The sequence below is a fragment of the Homo sapiens genome, chromosome 8 (assembly GCF_000001405.40).
Source record: "Homo sapiens chromosome 8, GRCh38.p14 Primary Assembly".
Taxonomy (NCBI): Eukaryota; Metazoa; Chordata; class Mammalia; order Primates; family Hominidae; genus Homo; species Homo sapiens.
In genome coordinates, this window is record NC_000008.11 from 60628848 (window position 1) to 60647334 (window position 18487).

The 18487-nt window shown below is 41.5% G+C and overlaps 1 long non-coding RNA gene across 1 annotated transcript, besides 1 other annotated feature; it reads right to left on the reverse strand.

Moving 5' to 3' along the window:
• Window positions 1-798: 798 nt before the first annotated feature.
• On the reverse strand, window positions 799-4098 carry LOC124901950 (uncharacterized). The gene is made up of 2 exons (XR_007060923.1): window positions 3749-4098; window positions 799-3060 (listed from the first exon to the last, which is right to left on the reverse strand). It is a non-coding gene; the product is annotated as an uncharacterized LOC124901950 (long non-coding RNA).
• Window positions 14025-14204: a silencer, noted in NCBI's record as "silent region_19225". NCBI's record gives its function as "represses an Ori minimal core promoter by ATAC-STARR-seq in GM12878 lymphoblastoid cells {active_cell/tissue: GM12878}" and the evidence as "EXISTENCE:reporter gene assay evidence [ECO:0000049][PMID:35858748]".

The following is an 18487-nucleotide window of genomic DNA, read 5'->3' on the forward strand; positions in this document are numbered from 1 at the left end:
ATGCCTGTAATCCCAGCACTCTGGGAGGCTGAGGCAGGAGGATCTCTTGAGGCCAGGAGTTTGAGACCAGCCCTAATAACATAGCAAGACCCTGTCTCTATAAATGACAACAACAACAAAAAAGAAAAGAAATGAAATCTAACCACCTAGTATTTCAGAATCTGACCGTATTTGGAAATAGGAACATGGCAGATGCAATTAATGAAAATGAAGTCCTACTGGAGTAGGGTGGGCCCCCAATCCAACATAACTGTGTCCTTATGAGAAGATGGCCCTGTGAAAACAAACACACAAGGAGAACGCCATATGAGGCCAACACAGAGAATGCAGTTAATGCAGCTGCAAGCCAAGGAACGCTGAAGATTGCTGGCTGCCAGCCACACGTTAGAATGAGGCAAGGAAGGATTTCCCCAGGTTTCACAGGGAGCATGGCCCTGCAGGTATCTTGACTTCTGGCCTCCAAAATGGTGAAAGAATAAATTTCTGTTGGTTTAAGCCAAAGAGTCTCTTTGTTATGGCAGCCATAGAAACGAATACACCCCTTATACCCTGTGAACAAAGACATTTGTTCTGCTCAGCTGTCTCTGTACCTGCAGTGAAAGGGCACATCACAGCCAGGGGCTATGGGAGGGTAAAGCTGCTGCACTGACTGGCATGTGTAGAACTCAACTTGGCAGAAGCGAAGTGAATATCTAGGAGTATTATTTTTACATCTTCCAACCTTGCAATAATTTAATCTGTATACCAAGAGGCTATTCAGAATATCAAATATCAGTACATAAGAGATTCCAGAAAAAATCATATGTACCACATAGGACTTTATTGCTATAATATTAGAGACACATTTTTTAATGTGACTTATGCCCAGAATTCAGTCTAAAATTGAAGCAAGTGGCAAATGTACACAAGTGTCATCTTATGATGATTATGATGATGACAATGACAATGCAGAAATAACACACATTCCAGAAATGATTCCCTTCCTGTTGTAGAAATAAGTGAGTAAGAACAAATTCTAGAATGGGTGTGAGCTGACCAGGAGGTGTTGCGTTTTGTGTGTGAGATCCTGAAGTCATTTGTGATCATTTGAATATTGCTAACAAGGTAGGGAGCATCGATGACAAGAGTGAAGATGACTTGCTGGAGGGTGAGGTAATCACTCGGGAGAAGGCCGCTGCAGTCTTATATTTGACAATTAATTTTGCATTAAAATGGCCACATTACAGTCCCCAGGAGATGCTGCTGCCGCACAGAATTCACATTTACGGAACGTGGTAAATGACCAGCCAGCCCTGTGCTGCCTCTTTGCCTGTGTGTGTGTGCTGTGTTGGGAGCTGCCCAGGTGTGAGTTATCCATGCTTCATGTCATACCTTTTCCTCATGCAGGTGGTGATTTCTGTTAAAGCATTGATACTCAACATCCTCTTTGCAGTTGGTAGTATAAAAGCAATTATTAACGACTGTAATCATAGATGATTCTGTTAGAGGCTGTAGCCAAAAAATTATTTATCCCTAGGATCTATCCTATAAAAAATTTATTATCTAAAATGGTCATGAGTTTATTTCACAAGATCACCCAATACAAGATGAGCGAGGTATTTGTACAGGTTATATGCATTTGAAGGTTGAAGAGCAGGGATTATTATACAGTGTAGTATTGCTTGGCTAGGGCAGCCATGACAAAGTACAACAGACTGGGGGAGTTAAACAGCAGAAATGTATTGTTTCACAGTTCTGGAGGCTGCAAGTCCAAGATCAAGGTGTTGGAGGATTGGTTCCCTCTAAGGCCTCTCTCCTTATGGAGATGGCCATTTTGTCTCTGTCTTGTTAAATCATCTTCCCTTTGTGTGGGTCTCTATGTCCAAATATCCCCTTCTTATAAGGACACCAGTCATACTGCACTAGGGCCCACCCTGGTCACCTAATTTTAACTTGACTGCACTGTAGAGACCTCATCTCCAAATACTGTCACATTTTCTGGTACTGGGGTTTAGAAGTTTAACATATGAATTGGACTGGAGCACAATTCTGCTCATAAAAAAATGTGATTATAGATTATGAGCTTTAGAGAGTTAAAAAGGGAAGCCCTCAGCTCCTTCCTCAGCCCAGGAAGTCTTTATGATGAAGCTGGGATTTGGGGAACACTGTGTGTGACACAAACAGTCAAGGTATCAAGAGATTCTGAAGAATGCTTCCTTTATGTTCCTTATTTTCATCTGTGTCTGCTGAATCTAAAGAAAAGCTCAGCACGTGGAATAATCAATACCCTTCCTATTGTGGGTGTCTTACCACCTGATCAACACTCATTAGGCATGTGAACACTTTGCCCCTTGAACCTCCATGATTTCACGAGGCTGGCATGCGCATCTCCACTGTGTCGCCTGGTCCGAGGGCCATATGTCATCCTGCGAGGCGGAATCACTGGTCTGCACGGTGACATTCTTGAAAACATGGCAAGTGCAGTAGTGTCCAGCATTCCTAATTCTTCTTGCCTTCCCACTTAGTCGTTTTTCTTTCTTTCTTTTCTTTCTTTCTTTCTTTCTTTCTCTTTCTTTCTTTCTTTCTTTCTTTCTTTCTTTCTTTCTTTCTTTTTCTTTCTTTCTTTCTTTCTTTTTCTTTCTTTCTTTCTTTCCTTTTTTCTTTCTTTCTTTCTCTTTCTCTTTTTCTTTCTTTTCTTTTCTTTTCTTTTCTTTTCTTTTCTTTCTTTCTTTCTTTCTCTTTCTTTCTTTCCTCTTTTTGACAGGTTCTCACTCTGTCATCCAGGCTGGAGTGCAGTGGCACAATCTCAGCTCACTGCAGCCTCAACCTCATGGGCTCAATCAGTCCTCCTCCCTCAGCCTTCTGAGTAGCTGGGACTACAGGCACACCCCATCACGTGCAACTAATTTTCGTATTTTTTGTAAGGATGGGGTTTTGCCATGTTGCCCAGGCTGGTCTCAAATGCTGTGCTCAAGCGATCTTCCCGCCTCAGCCTCCAAAGTGCCGGGATTACAGGCATGAGCTACTGCGCATAGTCCTTTATTAGTCTTGAATGCTTTTTTTTTCTTCTTTCTTTTTAAGCTGAGGTGAAAGTCACATAATGTAAAATTAGCCATTTTAAAGTGGACAATTCAGTGGCATTTAGTACATGTACAATGTGTGCAACCACCACCTCTATCTAGTTTCAAAATTTTTTCATCACCCCAAAGGGGATCCCATTCCAGAAGTGACCCAACAGTACCCCTCCACCCAGCCCCAGGCAACCACTATCTGCATTCTGTCTCTATGGAGCTACCTGTTCCGGATATTTCATATATATAAAATCTTATGATAGGTGACATTTTGTGCCTGGCTTCTTTCATTTTGCATAATATTTTCAAGCTTCATCCACATTGTAGCTATATGAGTACTTCATTCCTTTATAATTCAGTTGTAAAACAACTGAATTTTATACTACAAGTTACTTATGCATTTTTTCACCAATGGGCATTTGGGCAGTTTCCACCTTTTGGCTGTTGTGACCAGTGCTGCCATAGACATTGTGCATGTGTGTCCATCTGAGGATTAAATAGCACTGGTCTGATTTTTCTAAATTGAAATAAAAACATTCCTTCAGTATTTTATTTTAAAATTGATTAACATTATACAAGCACATACTTTTTTTTAGAAGCCAGATAGTATTACAAGGCTTATAATAAGAAAGCAGCCCCCCCTCATTTTGTACCCACCTCGCAATTCCCTCCCCAGAGCTCTCAGCCCTGTTTCTTACCCACTCCTTCCTTGGCGCTGGGCATCCCTTGTCTGAAGCCAATAGCCCCTGAACTCAACCTCTATCTCCCGTGTGAGGAGGGGTGGAGGCTGAATCTCTGGCTGCGTGGTGTTTGGAGGAGACACAGAGGCAGCCCCACACCTTGGCTCACCTTCCCTCATGACTGCAACTCTGTTCACCGACATTTTGCTCTGCTAAGTCAAATATTTGTTGGCATTTCGTGTACACTGGTATCTCTTCTCCTATTCTCTTTGCCCTGTGTATTTGTACATTTTATTGCCTTGATGGCATTTTTTGCAGTCTTGTGAAGGAGATAAATGCATGGTTCAATCCACCTTGTTTAACTAGAAACCCAGTAAATTCCTTTTTAACAATAACTTAGTCTTCCTTTTAACTTGTTAAAATGCAACATGTTTGCTGAAGAAAAAAAAAATGAAGAAAGGAGAACATTTAAAAACTACTCACCAAGTCTGGATTCTCCGCAAAGCCAACGCTGACATGATTTGGTTGCCAATACGTTTGCTGGGAGGTGATCCCAGGAAGCATGGCGAAAGAAAGCAGAAATGAGATGGGAGAGGAAGAGAAAAAGCTCACGAAGGTGTTGGCACTGCTATAAACGTTACTGCTATGGGTCCCTGGTGCTCCTTCTCCTGGGGACCCTCTGAGACAGTGGGAAGGACACAGCCGCAAAGGGTACCTTCTGTCATCTGTGAGGGGTACTCCTGGGACATCAGCTCCTCAGCAGTCTGGTCTGCCCTGTACACTGGCCAGACTTTCACTTTCTGCCCTTGGGCAGAAAGACCAGGAAACTCCTACCCTGTAATAAGGTAACTTGAGGTGGTGACACGAGGGTGGGCCAGGGTACCAACAGCATCTGCTCAAAAGACTGAGAATCCCACCACCCACAGAAAATACTCAGCATCTTTCTGGATTTCTTTCTGGTTTCCTTCTATGATTATGTATACATGCCTTCTTTTACCAAAATGGGGTCACACTGAGGACACTGCCTTCTTCCCCACTTATGTTGCATAAAATCTTCCAATATTGTTACATAGTTGTAATGATTAGGAGTGTTCAAATACGGGCTCTACCACTTACTAGCAAGGAGTTGCACCCTCTCAGTGGCTTCCTCAGCTATAACATGCAAGTAATCATCGCCCTGCCTCATACAGATGTGTTGGGAGGCTGAAACACGTTGCTGCACGTCAAGTTCTTAGAAATCTGCTTGGCACATGCCAAGCACTGGACAGATGTTAGCTCACTGTCATGCCACATAATTTTGATGGCTGCACAGTATTTCATTGTGAGCGTGTTCTATAATTTATTTAATCATACCTTCCTATTGACTATTTAGATTTATAAATAATTTAGGCAAAACCATCAACACTCAGTTATTATCTTCAGAGATAAATCTTTGGACACATCAACAACTCTTTCACTTGAGCCCAGGAGTTCCAGACTGTAGTGAGCTATGATCGTGCCACTGTACTCCAGTTTGGGTGACAGAGTGAGACCCCGTCTCTAAAAATTAAAAATAAAATAAAATACAAAGATTTCTTTAGAAAACATTCTTAGAAACGGAATTACTGGCTCATAAAATATAGACATTGTTGAAGATTTTATATCTGTGTAATTTCCCTCCAGAAATGTGCCGATTTATACTCCAATCAGACCACGAGAATGTTCTGTTTCCTGAACTCTATTACCAATAGTGGAAATTTTTATTTGAAAAATATATTTTTGGCAACTTGATGAGCTCACGTTTTGTTTTAATATCATTTATTAAGCAGTTAATCCTTTCCTCAGTACATTTAAATGCTTTAATTTCAGGCCACTTTTTAATGCATATTTGAACCTGTTTCTCAAGTTTTTATTGTGTCATAGATTCTGTATTTCTATGCTAGTGCCGCCACTTGAGACTCTCATGGTTCTCTTGGGATTTTAGAAAATTGAGGTAAATGTATGGTTTAATTCGGGGAAAATTGATATTGTTATAATAGCAAGTGTTCTCATCCAGGAACACGATATGCTTCCATGCAACAAGGACTTTTAAAAGATATTTAGAGATAATGACATTTATTCCAGAAACATTCCTGTTTTAAGGATCTCTGTTTTCAAAATCTAAAATTTGTTTTGCTTCTACATTTTCAAAATTTAGTTCATTTTAGGAAGGAAATTCCTGCCTGTTTTTATTTTTGTTTGACCAAATCTAAGATGTTCCATAATTTCTACTAACTCTCGTTTTCATCAGTTCTTATCTAATTTTATTTTCAACTACTTGCTTTCTATACATCTCTTAGTTTATTATCTTAAAAAATAGTCTTTCTTGGCCAGGCACAGTGGCTCACGCCTGTAATCCCAGCACTTTGGGAGGCCGAGGTGGGCGGATCACGAGGTCAAGAGATCGAGATCATCCTGGCCAACATGGGGAAACCCCATCTCTACTAAAAATACAAAAATTAGCCAGGCATGGTGGCGGGCACCTGTAGTCCCAGCTACTCGGGAGGCTGAGGCAGGAGAATTGCTTGAACCCAGGAGGTAGAGGTTGCAATGAGCCGAGTTCGCACCACTGCACTCCAGCCTGGGCAACAGAGTGAGCCTCTGTCTCAAAAAACAAACAAAAATTAGCTGGGCATGGTAGTGTGCACCTGTAATTCCAGCTACTTGGGAGGCTGAGGCAGAAGAATCGCTTGAACCCAGGAGGCAGACGTTGCAGTGAGCTGAGATTGCACCACTGCACTCCAGCCTGAGTGACAGAGTGAGACTGTCTCTAAAAAAAGTAAAAATATATAAAAATAAAAATAGTCTTTCTCTTATTTTAGCTATATAATGCCATCCAGGAAGAAACAGCAAATATTCACTCTGTATGCATTTGAATCAATTCAATATAAATGAAAATTCTCAAATGCTAAGTAACTATAGCAAATTTGCCAGGTAAACATATCAAATCATATTAATGTGCTATTTGATAATGTAATATAATATTCTTTCATACATATCATCCAAATCATTGAGAAATAATGACTGTTAGGATCCTTGGTTGTGGCTCAATAAGCAACTTTTCCACATTGAAACCCTGCCCAGCAAGCTGGCCCTTATTGACTTACTTTAACCTTTTCTGTTCTCAAGATAAATTGTCCTTGATTGGCTCCATGGTCTGTTCTTTCTGCTCGTGGATGCTGTGAGAATGTGTTCTTTCTGCAGGCCACCTGCATACCACACTTCAGAAAGAAGGCTTTCAGCCCTTCTTTCTTCTGCCTGTGTTGGTGCTTCTGACCTTCTCAGTCCCCCTGGACCTGACTCCCTGCTCCTCTCCAGGCTGCTTGCTGGGTACCTGGGATATGCACTGCAGCACCATGGGAAACCTCAGGAAACTAGAAAGAGCATGAACTTATCAATAAGGGAATTTTAAAGTAAAATTTCAATCGATTCTGCAGCTAACTAGCATGTGATTTTGAGCAAGTTACTTAAACTTTTCATACCTCAGTTTTCTTAATCAAATGAATACCTGTTCTATGGGATGGTTATAATGATTAAATGGGCTAATACTTATAAAGCACTACAAGAATGCCTTATCCACCAAGCAACATATATGTGTTGGTTAAAAAGAAAGGAAACAAAACGGAGAGAAATCTAATGATGTTCTGTTCAGTTCTGGCTATTATAACAAAAATATATCTTCAACAACAAACATTTATTTCTCACAATTCTGCAAGCCGAGAAGTCCAAAATCAAGGTATTGGCATATCTGGCGTCTGGAGACAGCTTCGTTTTCACTGTACCTTCAGATGGCCAAGAACTCAAGCTGTAGCTTCTTTGTTTTCTTAAAAGGACGTTAATCCCATCATGGGAGCTCCACCCTCATGACTCCATCCAAACCTAATTTCTCAAAGACCCCATCCCCTAATACCATCTCACTTCAGTGTAGGGTTTCAACATATGAATTTGGGGGTGGGGCACAAACATTCAGTCCATGCCACATGGAATACTAAAGGATGGTTTAAAAATCAGGGTTCTCCAAAGCCGGGCGTGGTGGCTCACACCTGTAATCCCAGCACTTTGGGATGCTGAGGTGGCAGATCATCTGAGGTCAGGAATTCGAGGCCAGCCTGGCCAACATGGTGAAACTCCGTCTCTACTAAAAACAAAAATTAGCCAGGTGTGGTCGTGGGCGCCTGTAATCCCAGCTACTCAGGAGGCTGAGGCAAGAGAATCGCTCGAACCCTGGGGGAGGAGGTTGCAGTGAGCCGAGATGGCACCATTGCACTCCAGCCTGGGCAACAGAGCAAGACTCCATCTTAAAAAATAAACAAATAAAATAAAATAAAATAAAATAAAATAAAATAAAATAAAATAAAATAAAATAAAATAAAAAAATCTCGGTCAGGTGCAGTGGCTCATGCCTGTAATCCCAGCACTTTGGGAGGCTGAGGTGAGCAGATCACCTCAGGTCAGCAGTTTGAGACCAGCCTGGCCAACATGGTGAAACCCAATCTTTACTAAAAATACAAAAAAAAAAAAATTAGCTGGTGTGGTGGTGGGTGCCTGTAATCCCAGCTACTCGGGAGGCTGAGGCAGGAGGCTTGAACCCAGGAGGTGGAGGTTGCAGTGAGCAGAGATTGCTTCACTGCACTCCAGCCTGGGTGACACAGCTAGACTCTGTCTCAAAAATCAATCAATAAAAATAAATCAGAGTTCTCTATATATGACATATTGTTAAGTAAAACAATTTATATATAAATCTATTAAGTTCAAAAAGCATGATGCAGGATAATAGATTTTTATGAACATAGTTACACACATACACACGTGTGTATACATGTATGTATGTATCACATATGCAGAAAAAACTTTATAGGGGAATACATCCCAAATTTTGACTAGAGTAGCTGATTTCCGAAGACAGAATTTTTACATTTTAATTCTATACACTTCTGTACTGTTCAAATCTTTTTTTTTAATTTCTTATTTTTTAAGAGACAGTGTCTCCCTCTGTCACCCAGGCTAGAGTGCAGTGGCACGATCATAACTCACTGTAACCTCAACTCCTAGGCTCAGGCAATCCTCGCACCTTCGCCTCCTGAGTAGCTGGGACTATGGGCATGCACCACCACACGCACCTAATTTTTTATTTTTTATTTTTATACAGATGAGGTCTCACAATGTTGCCCAGTCTGGTCTCCAACTCCTGATGTTAAGTGATGCTTCCACCTTAGCCTCCCAGCGCGCTGGGATCACAGACATGATCCACTGCACCTGGCCCTGTTTGAAATTTTATAAGGACATTACATTAATATATTGCTTGTATTATATGAATTATTGTATATTATTTATAAAAATTATTTTAAAAGAAAAATAAGTGAAGAGCATGAACAAATTTCAGAAGAAATTCAAATGGTTTCCAAGCATATGAAAAGATGTTCAAGATCAGTAAACTATAACTTGAAATAATGAGATACCAATTTTTGCCTTTGAAGGTGGCAAAAAATACCATCCAGCATGTAGAGATTTACTTATGTTGCTGGAATTTACAGAGAACCATTTAAGTCTGTGAGGGTGTGTGTGCATGTGTGTGTGTGTATATGAAATGAGCCAATGATCCCAATTCTATACTTCTGCCTCATCTTACAGAAATTTGAGCACAAATGCATAAAGATGTGTGTATAGAATGTTTACTTAAGCATGATTTGGAATAACAAAATTACTTATATTTCTATCATAGGGTAATGGACTGTGGAATATTATGCAATCATTAAAAGACTTAATTTTTTATGCACTCAGCTGGAAAGTTCATACAGACAGTTCCCAACTTACAATAGTTTGACCTAATGATTTTTTTACTGTGCGATGGTGTCAAAAGCAACATGCATTTAGTAGAAACCATACTTCAAGTACCCAGGCCATCATTCTGTTTTTTATTTTCAATATAGAATTCAGTAAATTACATGAGACATTCAACACTTTATTATAAAATAGGCTGTGTTTGATAATTTTGCTCAACTGTAGGCTGATGTAAGTGTTCTGAGCACATTTAAGGTAGGGTAGGCTAAGCTATGATGCTTGGTAGGCTTAGGCGTATTACGTGAATTTTTAACTTATGATATTTTCAACTTATAATGACTTTTTTATTTTATTTTATTTTTTGAGGTCCTAACAATTATTGGGTGGCTTATGATGAGTTTATCAGGACACAATTCCATCATAAATTAAAAAGCATCTGTACTGTATTTAAAGAAAAACAATTTTGCAGAACAATATTTATGGTAGAATCCCATTTTTGTAAAAACAATAACACAAATGAAACTACTGGTGAACTGAGAAAAAAAATAACAAAAAACCCCTTAACTTCGCTTTTGAAGCACAGAAAAGTGATGTCTGCAAGTTTACACATTGTATTGAGTGGTGACCAGGGCAAGAGGGGTGGGGGTGAGGAAGAAGGAGAAATTATATTTTTGTTTGTTTGTTTTTGAGACAAAGTCAGTCTCTGTCGCCCGGGCTGGAGTGCAGTGGAGCAGTCTAGGCTCAGCACAACCTCCACCTCCCGGGCTCAAGTGATTCTCCCACCTCAGCCTCCTGAGTAGATGGGACTGCAGGTGCACGCCACCATGTCTGGCTAATTTTTGTAATTTTTGTAGAGATGGGGTTTTACCACATTGCCCAGGCTGGTCTCAAACTCCTAGCCTCAAAGTGATCTGCCTGCCTCAGCCTCCCAAAGTGCTGGGATTACAGGCGTGAACCACCATGCCCGGCCAGAAGTGATAATATTTACATTAGTCAGGTCTGCATTGCTTGTATTTGTTTCTGTGTGCTTTTATTGCCATTGAAATTTAAAAGTTCTGAAGTTTTGCTTTTTTTAAAGTCAACATTTTCATGAGCAAACCCACATGCAACTATATTTTCATAAATGATAGACTGTAAAAATGTAGGTGCTAGGCCAGATGCTGTGGCTTATGCCTCTAATCCCAGCAGTTTGGGAGGCTGAGGTGGATGGATCACTTGAGGTCAGGAGTTCAAGTCCAGCTTGGCCAACATGGTGAAACCCCGTCTTTACTAAAAATACAAAAGCTAGCCGGGTGTGGTGGCAGGAACCTGTAATCCCATCTAGTAGGGAGGCTGAGGCAGGATAATCACTTGAACCCAGGAGACAGAGGTTGCAGTGAGCTGAGATCGAGCCACTGCACTCCAGCCTAGACAACAGTGACACTCTGTCTCAAAAAAAAAAAAAAAAAAAAAAAAAAAAAGGTGCTAGAGGCATATGGGCAATCTCTGTACTTTATGCTCAATTTTGCTATGAAACTAAAATTTCTCTCAAAAATAAAGTCTATTTTTAAAAAACCAAATGCCCCAAATGTTGTTTTGGACATTAAAGCGTTTAGCTTTGTGGCAAATTCCTAAACTGGCAAACTCATGTCAAAAAAGAAATTGCATGCAACATATTGTTTTAAAATAAAATGTTATGCTACATTTTTCTGCATTAAACACTTTACATAAAAGGGAAGAGTTTGTTTGAAAAATCAAGCATAAAGGTTAAAAATAGTCCTATCAAATGATCCTGCAATAACGTTTCTTGGTATTTACCCATATGAGTTGAAAACTTATGTTCACACAAAAGCCTGCACATGAATGTCTATAGCAGCTTTATTCATAATTACCAAAACTTGGAAGCAATCAAAATGTCCTTCAATAGGTAAATGGATAAAAAACAGTGGTACATCCCTACTATGGAAGGTTATTCAGCAATAAAAAGAAATGAGCTATTGGGCACAAAATGAAACAAAGGGATCTTAAACACATATTGCTAGGTGAAAGACGCCAATCTGAAAGGCTCTCCACTGTATGATTCCAACTATATGACATTCTGGAAAAGGCAAAACTATAAAGACAGTAAAAAAAAGCAATGATTGCTAGGGCTTTTGGGGAGATGAGAAGAGATGAATAGGTAGAACACAGAGGATTTTTAGGGCAGTGAAACTATTCTGTTTGATACTGCAGTGATGGATACATGTCATTTTGCATTTATCAAAACCCATAAAGGGGCATGGCAAGGTAGCTCACACCTGTAATCCCAGCACTTTTGGAGGCCGAGGCAGGTGGATCGCCCGAGCAATGATGCGATCTCCACTAACTGCAACCTCTGCCTCCCAGGTTCAAGCAATTCTCCTGCCTCAGCCTCCTGAGTAGCTGGGACTACAGGCACCCACCACTATGCCTAGCTAATTTTTGTATTTTTAGTAGAGATTTGGTGTTGCCATGTTGCCCAGGCTGGTCTTGAACTCCTGAGCTCAAGAGATCCGCCCGTCTTGGCCTCCCAAAGTGCTGGGAGTATAGGCGTGAGCTTAAAACTACTTATTTCAGTTAGTAATAATGTATCAATACACATTCACCAATTATAACAAATTATCACATGAATGCAAGATGTTAATAATAGGGGAAATGAGGGTGGGAGAGGAGGTACGTGGAAACTTTCCTATAAACCTACAACTGCAAACAAAACAAAATAAAACAAAACAAAAGTAATCTAGGCCAGGCGCAGTGGCTCACGCCTGTAATCTTAACACTTTGGGAGGCTAAGGCGAGTGGATCACTTGAGGTCAGGAGTTCAAAACCAGCCTAGCCAACGTGGTGAAACCCCATCTCTACTAAAAATACAAAAATTAGCTGGCCGTGGTGACACATGTCTGTAATCCTAGCTACTTAGGAGGCTGAGGCAAGAGAGTTGCTTGAACCCAGGAAGTGGAGGTTGCAGTGAACTGAGATGGTGCCACTGCACTCCAGCCTGGGCAACAGAGCAAGACTCCAAATCAAAAAAGAAAAAAAAGTAATCATTCAAAAAATAATCAAAAGAATACTCTATTCGTTTGTTTAAAGGCATAAAGTCTGTGGTTCACCCTACGCAACAGATCTCCAGATGGGAGAGCCATGGGCAGAGCTGTAACTCAGTGCAGTTCAACTGCCGCTTCGAATCAGAGGCAAGGCCAGATGCTCGAAAGATCAACAGAGAAGCAGGCAAAAGGCAGGCAGATTCAGCTGCTTTCTTTGCATAAATAGAAACCCCCTCATCAAAAAAATAAAAATGACTGTCCTTTCAGTGCTTCAATATTCCCTCCTCACCTTGCATTCATACTCAAGCAAAGAGCAAACCTTATTGTCAGACTCTGTTTCCTGAGTCCAGTTCAGACCCACACAAGAAGGCCTTTGACTAGTCCTACTGGCCCTGTCTGACCAGTCTTGGACAAGGCAGGTGGGCAATTTCTTTTTCTTTTTTTTTTTTTTAAATTGAGATGGAGTCTCGCTTGTCGCCCACGCTGGAGTGCAGTGGCGTGATCTCGGCTTACTGCGAGCTCCACCTCCGGGGTTCACGCCATTCTCCTGCCTCAGCCTCCCAAGTAGCTGGGGCCACAGGCGCCCGCCACCATGCCCGGCTAATTTTTTGTATTTTTAGTAGAGCCGGGTTTCACCGTGTTAGCCAGGATGGTCTGGATCTCCTGACCTCGTGATCCGCCCACCTCGGCCTCCTAAAGTGCTAGGATTACAGGCGTGAGCCACTGCGCCCGGCTTTTTTTTTAGACAAAGTCTCCCTCTTGTCCCCCAGGTTGGAGTGCAATGGCGAGATCTTGGCTCACTGCAACCTCCGCCTCCCGGGTTCAAGCGATTCTCCTGCCTCAGCCTCCCGAGTAGCTGGGATTACAGGCGCCCGCCACCAAGCCTGGCTGATTTTTGTATTTTTAGTAGAGACAGGGTTTCACCATGTTGGCCAGGCTGGTCTCGAACCTGACCTCAGGTGATCCGCCTGCCTCAGCCTCTCAAAGTGCTGGGATTACAGGCGTGAGCCACCGCGCCCGGCCATGCAGGTGGTCAATTTCTCAACGTGTGCTCATTTTTGTATCTAAGTGCCTGGAATAAAGCCAGCTCACTCTTGGCCCACATAGATGTTCTCTTTCTTGGCTTCTGGTGGGGTTCCCCATTTGCTCACATGTGCCTCCACGAGGGGTCTCAGTTTCTGATCCAACTCCCACAAGAACGTCAACTCCAAGAAGGCAGGCTATCGGATTTTCACTGCTTTGTTCTCTGGTGTATTTCCTGCACCTGAAATCACACCTCATTCATAGGGGTATAAAAAAATCATTGGTAAATGAATAAGTGAATGAATAAAGAAAGGAAAAATATATAAGCATAGTTTTCCCAACTGTTCTTTTTGTGGAAAAAACTCTTTTTCTCTAAGATTATGTTTTTCCAAGTTGTTTATATTAAAATGGCTTTTTTTTTTTCTAGTATAATAATAGAGGTTGCCTCTGTGCAAGGGACATTTAATTTCCACCATCATCCTTTGTACCTTAGTGAAGCGAAACTATTCTGTATGAAACTGTAGTGGTCGATACATGCCATTTTGCAGGTATCAAAACCCATAGAATGTACACAAAGAATGATACCTTATGCAAATTCCTAACTTTAGTTAGTAATAATGTATCCATAGGCATTCACCAATTATAACAAATTATCACACTAACACAAGATATTAATAATAGGTGGGTAAGGGGGTACATGGAAACTTTTCTATAAACCTAAAGCTGCTAAAAAAAAAACATAGCTTGTTAATTTAAAAAATAAAAAATACTCTATTAATTTGTTTAATAGACTTTTTTTTTTTAAGGCAGAGTTGCAGTCTGTCACCCAGGCTGGAGTGCAGTGGCTCAATCTCAGCTCACTGCAACCTCCATCTCCTGGGTTCAAGTGATTCTCCTGCCTCAGCCTTCTGAATAGCTGGGACTACAGGTGCACGCCTCCATGTCTGGCTGATTTTGTGTCTTTAGTAGAAACGGGGTTTTGCCATGTTGGCCAGGCTGGTCTTGAACTCCTAACCTCAAGTGGTCCACCCACCTTGGCCTCCCAAAGTGCTGTGATAACAGGCGTGAGCCACCACACCCAGCCTGTTTAATAGACTTCTGAATACTAACCTACTTAAAAATAAATTAATACAAATTAAAAATAAAATAACAATAAAAGTCTTTTATGATGGCACTTCAAAAAATTCTCCATAATTGGCATAATAAAAATTTTAAATGTGCAATTCTATATTAATCTCCTAAATTTATGTAATTTGCTTAAAAAAGAACTATGCCAAATTCTCAAACCCCAAAGCACTGAACATAGCACCTTGCATGTATTTGGCACTCAAATATTTGATAAGTGAATGAACCATCCTAGTTCATACGGCTTGGGGTTAGTGTGCGGACTTCACAACAATAAAAGTGTTCGTGACACTGTTGAGGTCCTTTGTCACCTGTCACTGTACTCACAGCAAACTCCTAATTGCTTTCCCTGGGACTGGGCTCCTCCAGCTTGGATCCATTATTCTCACACTTCCCCCAATTGTTCGTCTACGTGCACACTTGGGGTGCACTCCGGGCAGGGCGTGCGTGTGGGCTGCAGAGCGTTGGGGAGACCTCACCAGTATCCTGATGCCATGGGGTGGGTTGCAAGTGAGGCTGTCTCCCTGCATCAGAGTCACTTGGGGCTTGTTACAAACACAGCCTTCAGGACGCAGAGTCCGAAGGGAGTCGCCTAAAGTCTGGTTATAAAGTCGCTCCAAGAGACATTCCCAAGCTTCTGTGTCCCTCTCTGTTCTGTGCCCTCTTCCCCTGTAGCTGCAAGCCAAAGAATGCCAATTGCAGGAAACCTGGAAGCTAGGCTGGGCCAGGAAGGTTTCTACCCAGCAGCTCAGAAGGAGCATAGCCCTGCCTGTAGCTGGATTTCCCACTCTTGTCTAGAACTGTGAGAGAATACAGTTCCGTTGCTTCACGCCACCCAGTCCCTGGTACTTTCACAGCAGCCTTAAGAAACAAACACATTTTAAATGTAATGCTTACACACTGAATGACAATCCTCCACCACTGTTTGTTTTTTTGGTTTTACCTTGGTGATGATATAATTTGAATTTGAACCACAGGATGTTTTTGGGTTTTTTTTTTTTTGGTTTGTTTGTTTTTGTTGTTTTGAGATGGAGTCTCACTCTGTCACCTAGTCTGGAGTGCCGTGGCTCGATCTCGGCTCACAGTAACCTCCGCCTCCTGAGTTCAAGTGATTCTCGTGCCTCAGCCTCCCGAGTAGCTGGGATTACAGGCACGTGATTACAGGCACGTGCCACCATGCCCGGCTTTTTTTTTTTTTTTTTGAGACGGAGTCTCGCTCTGTCGTCCAGGCTGGAGTGCAGTGGCATGATCTCGGCTCACTGCAAGCTCCGCCTCCTGGGTTCACGCCATTCTCCTGCCTCAGCCTCCTGAGTAGCTGGGACCACAGGTGCCCGCCACTACGGCCGGCTAATTTTTTGTATTTTTAGTAGAGACGGGGTTTCACTGTGTTAGCCGGGATGGTCTTGATCTCCTGACCTCGTGATCTGCCCGCCTCAGCCTCCCAAAGTGCTGGGATTACAGGCATGAGCCACCGCGCCCGGCCTTTTTTTTTTTTTTTTTTTTTTTTTGTACTTTTAGTAGAGATGAAGTTTCGCCATGTCTTTCGGGCTAGTCTCGAGCTTCTGGCCTCAAACCATCTGCCCGTCTCAGCCTTTCAAAGTGCTGGGATTACAGGCATGAGCCACTGCACCTGGCCAGAACCGCAGTATTGATGGAGCTCCGTGAGGTGCATACTCCTTCTCATTCTACTGAATCCTTCCACTTTCTGGAAACCTGCAAAATGGCGTACAGAATACACAACGGGGTTCCCACTGTGAGAGCTATGGGGGGTTCTGGTTGGCCTCAGTTTGGGGTGTGCTCTCAGCCCGGCTTCTCCTGTGGTGGGGTGCATGTGAGTCCCCTGAAGATGTCTTTAGACTCTGGGTCAGACGATCCAGGTACAGCCATGAGGATGCTGCTGGCGTTCAAACCACACTTGTGACAAGGCTTTCTGTTCACAACCCATCCAGGTCCAGGGAAAACTGGGCTCATTTAGAAGAGTGCAAGGGACAGATTTAGGGAAAGGACGAAAGTTTCCCAAACATGGTGTGAATCCTGCTGGCTCTGGGATACATGCTGTAACAGCAACACAGAGGACCACATTTCACCAGAATTATTGCTTTTATTGCCAAGGTCTTAGGTCTTTTGGACTCCAAGTTACTGATGAAAAAACAGTTAAAATGCCTTGCATGAAATCAAAGAGATTTTGTTATCAGCTCCCCAGTTACCTGCTTGGCAGTTGCCTCTTATCTCTCTCTGGGATTTTAAAGCTCTTCCTAAGTCCAGATGCCCTGAACACTTAAAGATGCTCTAATAATAATAATAATGTTAAATTAATTAATAATTGTAAAGGAAGTCCAATTATTTTCATTCAAACATCTAATTATTAAAGCAAAGAAATTTATTGTTGGGACACATTAATCACTGTATTAGGGGTGATGGTGGGGTGGGATGAAATATAAGTAGGTGTTGCTTTTTTATGTTAATATTTGACAATGTGAGGAATGATTTCAGCAGATTAAGAGCAGCATTAATGATACATCAGAAGCATCAGCTCTCATTCGTCCTAGGCTACAGCATTACAAGCAACCATAACCATCCACTTAACATCACTAGAGAGAAGCGCTAGACATTGAGATGGCCACACTGTACCAGGAGTGCCTTCAACATGGTCCTGTGACTGCCTCTGGGCTGACAACTCCTCCCGCTGCACGAGTCATCGATAGCATTTCTTCACTGGGCTTTATTACTGTGAAGAAAACCTTTTTATTTCTTTCATGTGATTTGACACTAGGAATTATTAAAAAGAACTTAAAACCAAAGCCATGACAAAAAATAAAAAACACCAATATGCTGTGAATGTATCATTTTTATTCCTGGGACTGGTTTTATTATTTTTGGAACTATTACAAGACTTCTGTTAAACATGTTGAATGTTAAGAGGAAACAGACTCTCAGCAAATGTTGAAAACCAATTACAGAAACGTCCCTGCTAGAACTAGAGAAACACAGGAGGGACCGAGAAGAAGTTTGCCCTCCCCCTTCTCCCACTGCCCAAAACACACAGATGGTGGAATTCCCGTGAAGAAAAATACGATGATTACATTGTGGTCCTTATTCTTCTGTTCACAAGCAAAAAAACACTAAAATGATACTTCTGAGTCAAACCTATTTATAATGAGTTCAACATAGGATTATTTAAGGCAAATCTGATACAGGAAAAACTCATATAACTTACAGAATGATTCTTTACTATACACAAAAAAAGCTTCACCACTAATCAAGAAATCAAATTACATTACATTTAAAAACACCTAAATTTCAAATATTAATTTATGGAACTTTCAGGAGCACATCGCTGTAAACAGTACTGTAAAAGCATGCTATCATGTACACATTGATTAAAGTACATAATTTTATCTACATGAATACTGACAAGATTGAAATTTTTTAAAATTCAATTTTGAAACCCTAGAAAGCTGATTTAGGAAAAGAATCAACAGAAGAAAGAAACTTATTTTCAGTTATTATTCAGCTATTACTTTCCCATGTGCTACCATAAGTGAGGCTTTGTGCTAAGCACCAAAAAGGTACAGATGAGTAAGACACCCTCTTTGACCTCAAGGAACTTCCAGTTTTGGAAACGCAAGGCAGTAGTTAAAATTCAATATGGTAGCCAGGCATTTGCAGTCCCAGCTACTGGGGAGGCTTAAGTGAGAGGATCACTTGAGCCCAAGAGTTTGAGGTTGCCGTGAGCTATGATTGTGCCACTGCACTCCTGCATCAGTGA